Genomic DNA, 11,411 nt, shown 5'->3' with positions numbered 1-11,411 from the left:
TAAAGGTGAAGGGAGAAGAAAAAGAAAAGGCTTTCAGGTAACTTTTGAGTTGGGACAGGATCAGGAAGCATGGAATTATCTATTGCAGTCTGAGCTACGTGGTATGTATATTATTATCATTATTAATAGTAACAGCATTTGAGGGGATAATTCTACTGACTTCATAGCATTTTTTTTTTGTGAGGCAGGGTCCCCCAGGCTGGAGTGATGCAGTGGTGCAATCATGGGTCATTGCAGCCTCGACCTCCTGGGCTCAAGATATCCTCCTGCCTCATTTCTTGATTTTTTGTAGAGAAGAGGTCTCACTATGTTGCCCAGGCTGGTCTCGAACTCCTAGGCTCAAGCCATCTGCCAGTCTTGGCCTCCCAAAATGCTGAGATTACAGGCGTGAGCCACTGCGCCCGGCCTCATAGCATTATTGTCAGGAATAAGTGAGGCTGCAATGTAAATAAAGTGTATGACTCGGTGCCTGACACACGGTAAATTCCTTCAAACTATTAGCTATTATTACTACTAACAATCTTTTTTTTATTGAGCCTGTACTGTACATTGGGCACTGTATCTGATCTTTTATATCACCTGATTTGAATAATAATGGAGCAGTTATAAGAAATTGTCATTATGCTCATGTTACAGATGAGAAAACTGAGGCTCAAGGTCACAAAGTCCTTAAGTGGCAGAACTGGGACCCAGGCCCAGATGTGTTCAGTTCCAAAGCCCCTCACCACACTGCAGTGGATAAAGGACACTTTCAGGGGGTTCGCAAGTTAGCCAATCAGTTACTCTCTTCACCAGTCTGTTACTAAACTATGAATGCTTATATAATGACAGCATTTCTCCCTGAACCAATTTTCTTCAAATGTCATTTCCTCCTTCTATAAACAGACTGAACACATCCTTGACTCATATTTGAACAAAGTCATTTCACATTTCAAATTTTCTTTTCCCTGCAGTCAGCCCTATGGCAATTGCACAGGCCCAGGGCCAAATTCCAGCTCAGAGTGGAGGATGTGTGAATACCATAGGCTAAGAAAATAGCATGAGACCAACTAACAGAGGTCCCCCAAGTGCTGTCTTACCCTGCTATTTCCCAGCAGGCTGTGGATTAAGATATAAATGAGACATATGGAGATGGTAAAAAGCATATGTCAGGCATGCTGTGGTCCATGTTCCTGTCAAGCACACACACTGGGTCATTTTTAATCATGAAAACACCACCAAGCCGGCTACCCAAATATTTCTACAGAACCAAAATTGAAGTCAGTACTTTATTTCTCACACCTCCCTTCTTACATCAGCCTTTTCTGCAGTATCCCGGAATTGGGTGCACATATCTCTCCCCCGCCCCCAGCAAAAGGAGAGAGAAAGAAAAGAACTGGTTAGTACCAAAAAACGAAACAGTTCCTCCTGAGTATGTTTCAGTTGAATTAATTATCCCCAGGCATAATAATAAATGTCATCATGATCAACAACAAAACTTATTGAACACAAACCTTCTACACAGTATTAAAGAAGGGCATTGTGGTAAAATGCCATCAGCATCCCTGTTGCACCTCCCTGTTGGTGATGTGTCGCTCACCTCCCTGTATTGTGATGCGATTCCCTGCCTTGTCCTAAGCTCTGAGGACAACATATAAAAAAACTCACCATTCAAGAAATAGCCATTTCTTCCATGAAGCCACTCAGGTACACTAGAGCTTGGCCATTTCCCCCATTCCCATCCTAACTCCCAGATTCAGATGGAAATTTGATGTGGCTGCTCGTTTGGCCTTTGGCATAGGCTCCCAGGCAACATTTTTAGTGGCCCTCTCTTCCTCTGACTCCTCCTACTGATGGAAAGCTTGCGAGCTCTGGAATCAGATTATCCTGAATTTGAATCATGCCTCGGTGAGGTGGGGGAAGAGCAAAGATCAAAGCAGAGGCCCTTGTAGGCTCAGGAGACGTCCTGGTTTCACCTGTGCAAAAAAGAGTTCCTGGGAGAAAGTAGTGAGGAATGAGTCTGGAACAGCAGGTAAAGGCCAATTCACAGGAACCTTTACAAAAAGAACAAGTTGTCAAACAGTACATCTTTCAAAACTTTGCAACATCTCCATTTAATTCCCTCCTATCCCCTTTTCAGTTTCATTGGGAGGATATAGGCCAAATTCCAGCTGGATTACATAATGGTTCCCAGCATTGGATCAGCAATTCTCACTTTTTTTTTTTTCCTCCCAAAAGATTGTTTAGGCAGCCTTTCACGTGTGCGTAGAGGAAAGAACATTCATTAGATAGGGTGTCAGGAGACTTCGGTTCCAGCCACAGGAAGTTGAGTCAACACCTCTCTCTGAGCCTCGGAGGAAAGTAAAAGGACTAAAGTAGGTGGCCTTGACAGTTGTTCCTAGTTCTGACATCCTTGATATGTTCTCAACAGTAACATCTGGAAACTAAAGAAAAGCAAAATCCAAGTGTATGTGTCTTTCATGAGAACAGAGGAAAATGGTCTATTTACCCATTGGCCTCAGGGATAACCTGCACTTTTTTTCTTCTCCTCATCTACCTCAAGTCTCTTCCTGAATACTCTCCTTGTGGGCCTTGAAGTGTTTGCTGTTGGGTTAACCTGAGCCTCAGAACTTTTGCTCTGTTTTTGCTGAGTCCTTCACCTGACCTGCATGCAAAGATGATGGGAATCCATTGGCAAAACTTGCTTTGACTCTTGGCTACCCATGCGTGCATGCCAATAGACCCACATGCCCTGGAGATTGCCCACACAGGTCCCTTTATATTCTCAGGCCCTTTTTCTCCCAAAGTACACATTCTTTAAATAGGGCTGTGAACTGGCCATGAAAAAAACAATGAGGTTTACAGTGAAGGCTTTCAGCTACACAACTGTATCAGCCCATTGACAACTGAGTTTTGCAAAGGGACATTCTCTCAAGAAGAACCACAGCAAGAACAGATTTTTAACCAGTGAAAATGCCTTCAGGTTGAATCTCAAAGTGTTTATAATCTAAGACTTTAGAACACCATGTAGCCCCAGATAGGACTTGATGATTAATGAAGTACAATACATAAGTATGGATGAGATTCCTCCCAGCCACAGAGCTTCCAGATGTCTAGATCAACACTCAAAGCAACAAACCATTCCCTCTGCCACAGAGACATCTGAGTTTGCAGCATGAAAAACTGGGGGCTGAGTGCAGTGGATGAGGGGACATGGTCTACTCTGAATCTGACCAATTTTCCCGGGGAAACATCTCTCTCAGTTTATAGGAGAAGAGTTTCTTCTGTGTCTCACTTTCTGTGTGTGATCTGGATGTTTTTACTTCTCCTTCATTCATCTAGCTAGCTCATTTTAAAATGTAGTTGGCTTTGTGCGTGTACTGTCCTTTGTGGGGAAAAGAGAAAATCGTGTATGCAGTGCGTTGTATCAGACTCTGGCACAGTGCATTGTGATATGAAATGCCATCAGGCATCTCTGCTGCATCTCCCTATAGGTGACGTACACCACCACCTCCACCTGTCTGTATTGTGATGTGCTTCCCTGCCTTGTCATGCTCGCTGGTAATGTCATGGTGCTACCTTGGCTTTCAATGTAACCCAGGGCAAAGCATCTGCCTGCTCTGAGTTAAAAAAAATATATGTATATATACACACACATATACGTATACATATACATATATATACATATATATATTCCACAATGTACACAATACTAGATCTGTATTAGAATCTCTAATATTTTCCATTATCAAAGTGTAATGGTATTAAATACTCAGCAGTAATTGTCATCACACAAGACATTGTTCAGTATACTCAGGAATGGATGTCATATAAATAATAACACTTATAGAATCAGAAACTCTGGGAATGGGGCCCAGAAATCTATGTTAACTCCTATTTTCTTCTCATTTTTTCCTATCTGGATTTTACCAATTTTTAGCTCTATTAGAAATTCCAAAGTGTCTTTAAAGGGCATCCCTTGATACTTTCTGCTTTTTGGCATCCTCTGAAGCTTCCCTTATATTGCAGGCCTGTATTTGGAATGAGGAGGCACAGCCCATGTTTGCTGTACTTTATTTGAAGTCAAGAAAAAAAAATGAGGACATTTTCTTGCCCTTTAATAATTTTAAGTCTAGATCTTTTCAACACTGGGGTGGCCATCCAAAGCATTTTCATTTCTTCCTCCTTCAGTACCCAGGGGGCTTCTAGTACTCTCTTTTATTCATTCCATAAATATTCTTTACAGGATACACAGCATGATAAATGTGGCACATCTTCCTTTATACATGTATTTTGAAATCAGTCCCATGTACTCAGCATTTATTGACTCTTCTGAGCCTTTCTAGAAGGAAGCCTGCTTAAAAGGAGTCATATCTATCTCCCTTGCAAGATATACATTAAACACCCATTTTTTTTAATCTGTATAACTTTAAGGGGTACAAGTGCAGTTTTGTAGTGGTGAAGTGTCTGGGCTTTTATTGTAACCATCAACTAAACACCCATTTTCAATGCTTTCTTCTTCAATAGTTTGAGTCGATTTCATTAGAGGCTTAACAGACAGCTGTACCAACACTCATGTTAGGAGATGTAGTTGTGGGAGACCTTACCAATTAGAAAGTGTAACTTTCAAAAGGCTCTGTAGCCAGAGTGTGAGGATTGGATCAAGGAAGAAGTGGAAGACAAGGGTGAGGAATTAATAGTGTCCAAGGGCTTGTCAACTGGAAATTGGGAGGAACCAGGCACAGTGACTCACACCTGTAATCCCAGCAACTTGGGAGGGCAAGGCGGGTGGATCATTTGAGGTAAGGAGTTTGACCAGCCTGGGCAACATGGTGAAACCCCGTCTCTATGAAAAATACCAAAAAAAAAAAAAAAAAATTGGGTGTGGTGGGGCACGCATGTAGTCCCAGCTACTGAGGAGGCTGAGGCAAGACAATCGCTTGAAGTCGGGAGATGCAGGTTGCAGTGAGCCACGATTGCACCACTGCACTCCAGCCTGGGTGACAGAGCGAGACTCCATCTCAGAAAATAAAGGAAAAAGAAATTGGGAGGCCCAGTGGAAGGCGGACGAGCTCTGGAGTCAGATACATGTGGGCTTGAATCTCAACTCTGCGACTTCCCATCTGGGCAGGTTAGTTAACCTCCCTGGGCCTGCTTCCTCATCTGTAAAATGAGGATGGGAATAGAAGCTAGCTCATAAAGTTGTGGTGAAGATTACACGAAATAATCCATGTCGACCCTTTTGCACTGGGCCTCCCACTGAGTAGGCAACCGGCAAATGATGGCTCTTACTATCAACCAGGCAGTTTCCTCGGCTTATGTACTACTCCAAGCAAATTGCCCCCACTGCCACACCCTTCCTCTCTGAGGTTCGTCTACATTCCCACTTTGGAGGGAAATGGCAGTGGGAGCCTCTTTTTCCTCTCCTCAGAAGTTCACTGCCCCCTCCCTGGTGAGCTCAGGCTATGAAAATCAGCGCCTCCACCCCAGGGAAGACCTAAAAGGAAATGGTACAGAGCAGCCTGTTGAAATTAGACAGCAGGGTCACCCTGGTCCTCTGTGCCACAGGAAGGAGGGGTACTGAAGTGTCAGTTGTTGGTGGGGGAGCAGTGCTGCAGTGGGAATTCCAGAGCTGAGAAGGCTGCCATCAACCAAGTGAGACATGACCAGCCCCCGAGGTAAGTCTGTAACTTAGGAGGGAAGAAAGCGCAGATGTGGGAAAAGGAAGGAAAATGTGAGTAGATTTGGCAAGAGATGAGTCCAGAAGGAAACATCACTCTTCCCGGGCATCACAGTCAAGCTACAACAGATGCAGGACAAGAGTGAGCGACGAGAGGAGAAAGAACACAAAACCAGAGCCTTGTCTCAACTGTGTATATGACAAGGAATCTAACAGGTCGTTAAGAATGGAGAGAAAAAGCCATCGCATGGCTGGTAAGCTTAAAACTCATAGTACAGGACTGTGGTGGTGGCAGTTTGCATGCAAATTCGCTAGATTGGTAAGCTCACTAAATGTTTATTATATGTAAGTTCAATTTTTTAAAAAACTTCATCTTTTAATAGAAACAAATGTGGCAATTTCTAGACCTGTTATGACTGTGGTTTCTGAATGTTTTTCCCAAGGGTGTAAGGTTTAAGGGGAAAAAATAGCCTAGAAGGAAGAAAAAGCGAGCAGGATTCCAGTTCTTCTCTGCTCGCTGGGGAACACATGCTTTCCAAATACGGGGAGGAGAGGAGAGGAGAGGAGCCGCCTGGGTTCTTTCCCAGCTCTGAGTCTGTTTTGGCTCCAGAATAAACTCCACTGTCCCCAAGCTGATAGCTTTCAGTTCCAATATTTTTTTCTCAGAAATGTACAGTCTCGTGGGAGCTCCTTGGTGAGCTTCTGTAGCCCCAAGGAAACATCTAAAGGGACCCTGATGTAAGTCATTAGTTTAGAGTCAATGAGATTGGGGACCCTAGAGGGCAGGGCTTCCTTCCATATGTATTTGTCCCCACACTGCTAGTCACAGAGTAGGTGGTTAATAAAAGATTAATTGAATAATTTACCTACTAAATGAATACTAAATCTCACAGTAATCTACCAATGATGTTAGAGAGAAAGAAGTTATATCTACAGATTAAAAGGCATATCAAATAATGCAATGTATGGACCTTGTTTGAATTTTTATTCAAAGATTTTTTAAATGAGGCAATTTGGAAATTTGAACACTGCCCTGCACCATGTTTTTTCTTTTTTTATTTGCTTTTTTTTGTTTGTTTGTTTTTGAGACAGAGTTTTGCTCTTGTTGCCCAGGCTGGAGTGCAATAGCACGATCTCAGCTCACCACAACCTCGGCCTCCCAGGTTCAAGTGATCCTCCTGCCTCCGCCTCCTAGTACCTAGGATTACAGGCGCGTGCCACCACGCCCAGCTAATTTTTGTATTTTTTAGTAGAGATGGAGCTTCACCATGTTGGCCAGGCTGGTCTGGGAATCCTGACCTCAGGTGATCTGCTCGCATTGGCCTTCCAAAGTGCTGGGATTACAGGTGTGAGCCACCGCACCCAGCCGTTTTTTTTGTTTGTTTGTTTTTGTTGTTTGTTTGTTTTTGTTTTTGTTTTTACTTTTAATGTCATCATTTAAAAATAGATTTTACATTAAGATCCAGATTTCGAGTTTATTTTGAAAAGTGGGAATATCTGGCCACAGATGGGCCCATCTGCCCACTCAGCGACCATGGGCTGGAATTAAGACGTGGTTACTCGCTTTTGGAGGTGGTTCCCACAGTCCCCATCTCAGGCCCAGAATAAGTGCTAATTCTTCCACAAAGACTTCTCTGATCACTCCAAACAGGACTGATTTCTCATCCCTTAGCCCTTGGAAGCCGTTTCAGTTACTCGCCTAAATCCTACTCATGCCACCTGTATGTGGTTATTCCTGGATGTCTTATCTCCCCTCTTCCTCCTACACCCTGGCTGGACTGAGGCCTTTAGAGGCTCTAAACACTGAAAAGACTAGTAGGGTGCCTCCCCATGTGTAATTCCCAATCAAATTTTATTTTTCAAAGTGACAGTGTTTACAAATAAGTTGAAGACAAACTTCTAGATTGAAAAAAACTCGGCTGGGCGCAGTGGTTCACATCTGTAATCCCAGCACTCTGGGATGCCAAGGAGGGTGAATCACTTGACCTCAGGAGTTGGAGACTAGACTGGTCAACATGGCAAAACCCCGTCTCTACTAAAAATACAAAAATTAGCCGGGCGTGGGGGTGCAGGTCTGTAATTCCTGCTACTTGGGAGGCTGAGGCAGGAGAATCGCTTGAACCCAGGAGGCGGAGGTTGCAGTGAGCCAGGACTGTACCACTGCACTCCAGCCTGGGTGATAGAGTGAGACTCCATCTCAAAAAATAAAGAAAAAATTATCTAACTTCTTATTTGGAAAAACCTCAAATCTTTACCCCTACATTCTTCAATATTTATGTCTTTTTTTGTGTTCGTGAGACAAAGTCTCATTCTGTCTCCCAGGCTGGAGTGCAGCAGGCAATCTCAGCTCACTGCAACCTCCGCCTCCTGGGTTCAAGCGATTCTCTTGCCTTAGCCTCCCGAGTAGCTGGAATTACAGGCATGTGCCACTACACCCAGGTAATTTTTGGGTTTTTGTCTTGTGTTTTTATTTTTTTCTAGAGATGGTGTTTCGCCATGTTGGGCCAGGCTGGTCTGGAACTCCTGAGCTCAAGCAATGTGCCGGCCTCAGCCTCCCAAAGTGCTGGGATTACAGGCGTGACTATTTATTTCTTAAGAAGAAGTGCATTTTCCTAGGTGACTACAACATCATTCCCACACCCAAGAAATTTGACCTTGATACAATATCATGTACCATACAGTTCATATTCAAATTTTCTAATTATGCCAGTAACGTATGCCCTTTCAAGCTTCTTTTAAAAATTAGGGTTGTAATCAAGGATCATACATTGCATGTGGTCTCTTTAGCCTCCTGTGATCTGGAACACTTCTCTGATTTTTGTTGTTAGTCTTTCATGACACTAATATTTTGAAGCATTGGGGCCAGTTATTTTGTGGACTATATCACAGTCTCTATCTCTGTCTGAATGTTTCTTCATTATTAGATTTGGGTTCAACATTTTTGCAAGAAACTACAAAGCTGATGTGTTTTGCTAAATTTTCTGTTTGCGGAGTTCCAGATAAGGTCATGAAAGCTGAACTTGTGTTTGTGTATGTGTGTGTGTTTTGTGGGCACCCTAATCATATGTGTGTCGTATTAATAATCATGAATGGCTACCATCCTGGATATCATGCAAAGCATTGGTCTCTGTATTTACTTAGAAGCAGAGCTTCGGGAGTTATAATGCCAAACTGTTTATTTTTGCCACTAGTTTTTTTTTTCTTCGAGACAGAGTCTCGCTCTGTTGCCCAGGCTGGAGTGCAGTGGCAGCTCTCGGCTCACTGCAACCTCCACCTCCCGGGTTCAAGCGATTCTCCTGCCTCAGCCTCCCGAGCAGCTGGGATTACAGGGGCCCGCCACGACGCCCAGCTAATTTTTGTATTTTTACTAGAGACGGGGTTTCCCCATGCTGGCCAGGCTGATCTTGAACTCCTGACTTCAGGTTATCCACCTGCCTGGGCCTCCCAAAGTGCTGGGGCTGGGATTACAGGTGTGAACCACCGTGCCTGGCCCCCCACTTGTATTAATCTACATCATCGCAAACACTTATTGACCACGTTTTAATTTTTGTTAAAATTGTAGGTGCAACGTAATGTCTTTTTTTTCTTTTTCTTTTCTTTTCTTTTTTTTTTTTTTTTTTTTTTTGAGACAGAGTCTCGCTCTGTCACCCAGGCTGGAGTGCAGTGGTGCTATCATGGCTCACTGCAAACTCCACCTCCCGGGTTCAAGCGATTCTCCTGCCTCAGCCTCCCAAGTAGCTGGGATTACAGGCACCCACCACCATGCCCGGCTAATTTTTGTATTTTTAGTAGAGTCGGAGTTTCACCATGTTGGCCAGGCTAGTCTCGAACTCCTGACCTCAAATGATCCACCCACCTCAGCCTCCCAAAATGCTAGGATTACAGGCATGAGCCACCGTGCCTGCCCCATATTACATATTATATATATTATATATTAATATATGTAACTTATGCTATCATTGCTAACATATGTAATATATGCTATTATTAGCTTCTTCCATTTTACAGCTCCCATGTCATTTGGAGACTCAGTGGTCTCGCCAAAGTGCCCATCTCACAAGTGGTCCAGCCCCATTTTGGGATCTCCTGCACCACACTTAATGGCCCCAACCATAAACTGCGTGCCTACAACTATGTCACTACACACACACTCACAACAGTGGTGACTCCACCTCATAAGGGCAAGCCCCCATGAAGTGAGGTCTGCCCCTTAAAGGAGCCTCAGGCCAATGACGGTTTTCCTTGTGAATGGGAAAAACATTCTGCAACCTGGTAGAGTCTCTCCCAAAATCCGGAGAGATTGATGCCAATAAGTCCTCTGCCTCTCTTTGAAGACTCACAAACATCTTAAAGATATTTCACCCAACTTTGAGACCTATGTGTCATGATTTATTGTGCAACAGTTTAGGGAAGCCTACTCATGATGGGGCCCCTAGCACCTCAAAGCAAGCCTGCGACTCCCAACCTCTCCCTAGGCTTCTTCCCCCAACTTGGGTCTTTCTTTGTGTAATGTTTCAAGGACTAGTAAACTCATGATACAAGCGCACCCAGGAGGCACGCCGTAAATGTTCTTTAAATGAATGAATGAATGAGGAAGGAATGTTACTGTGTTGCTAGGTAAAGGTGAAGAAAGGAATGTTGGGGGGGCCAAGCTGGGTGCTGATTGGCTAGTCCTCACAATGCAGTAGGGGCAGAGCACGGAACATAGGAGAGGGTTTCTTTAGACCAGGTAGTCGCTGCCCAGCCGGTCAGGACGTGGGACGCAAGGGGCAATCCTGCCCGGTTCGCAGGTCCGAGGCGGGCGCGGTGGCCCTTCGGGCCCCGCCCCGCCCCGCCCCGCCCCGCCCCGCCCACCGGCAGCCCGGCCACGACCCAAGCGGAGGCCGCGCCGACGCCTGCGCAATGTATGCGGAGAGCCACCACCGCCTCCGGTCCCGACTCCGATGATGGCGGACGGCGCCGCAGCTGGCGCTGGCGGCAGCCCATCCTTGAGAGAGCTGCGGGCACGGATGGGTGAGCGGGCGGGTGGCTCCCGGGGGTGGTTCGGGCCCGCGTGGGAGGCAGGGTTCCCGCAGTCCCCGGGCCGTCGGAGCGGCGCAGCGGGCGCCACAAAACTTTTCCCTGGAGTCGCCTCGTGCTATCTGGTCCTCCCCTCACCCCCGCCGGAGTGCCCTGGGATGGGACAGGGGCGGGGGCGGGGGGTTGAAATTGTCAGCCGACGCCGCGAGCCGCCTGAGTCCCGCCGCCAACGGTCGAACTGCCGCTGCCAACGGTCTGAGCCCCGCGGACGCGGCGCGAGGCAACTCACGGGCTCTGCTTCGACGGGCGGGGCGGGGGCGGCTGGAAGCCGGACCCCGCGGACCGCCCCGTGCCCCATCTGCCCTTGGGGGGCGGTGGCCGCCCGCGCAACCGCCCCAACGAACGCACAGCTGCCTGGGATGTGCGGGCGCCCGCAGGGACTCCGCGCGCCGGCGCCGCCTCCGCCGCCAGGCAGCCTTTCCAGGCACGGAAAGTTTGAGTTATCCCCCAGCCCGGGTCGTGGGCGAGTTTAGGCGCTTTTACTGTCGCAGTCCTTGCCTCTCCCAAAGGCTTACCTCCTGCACCCTCCCGGTCAAGGTCCAGGGAGGAAGCTGGGTGAGGGTGGGGATGCTTAAAAGTTGCTTTAAAAGTTGGGATGAAACTTGGCTCTTTGCATCTCCTGATTTGCCTGCTGTAGCACATGACTTCAACAAGATGTCATCTTCTGTGGGAC

General features: G+C 46.1%; 1 protein-coding gene across 3 annotated transcripts in view, besides 1 other annotated feature; it reads left to right on the top strand.

Annotated features, from left to right (window-relative positions):
* The window catches only part of MAP7D3 (MAP7 domain containing 3), a 43,263-nt gene continuing 37,330 nt past the window's right edge, over positions 5,479-11,411 (top strand). For 2 of the 3 annotated variants that reach the window (NM_001173517.2, NM_024597.4), the window contains exon 1: positions 10,561-10,672. In NM_001173517.2, coding sequence (NP_001166988.1) covers positions 10,603-10,672 — 70 coding nt within the window. In that variant the 5' untranslated portion in view covers positions 10,561-10,602. Of the gene's footprint in view, positions 5,658-10,560; positions 10,673-11,411 lie in introns of those variants that run through there. The other variant, NM_001173516.1, reaches the window with a different exon arrangement.
* Positions 10,455-10,844: a silencer, noted in NCBI's record as "silent region_21026". NCBI's record gives its function as "represses an Ori minimal core promoter by ATAC-STARR-seq in GM12878 lymphoblastoid cells {active_cell/tissue: GM12878}" and the evidence as "EXISTENCE:reporter gene assay evidence [ECO:0000049][PMID:35858748]".

The sequence above is a fragment of the Homo sapiens genome, chromosome X (genome assembly GCF_000001405.40).
Source record: "Homo sapiens chromosome X, GRCh38.p14 Primary Assembly".
NCBI lineage: Eukaryota > Metazoa > Chordata > Mammalia > Primates > Hominidae > Homo > Homo sapiens.
Note: the sequence above shows the minus strand (reverse complement) of the source record. Positions and strands in the feature narration are given on the sequence as shown.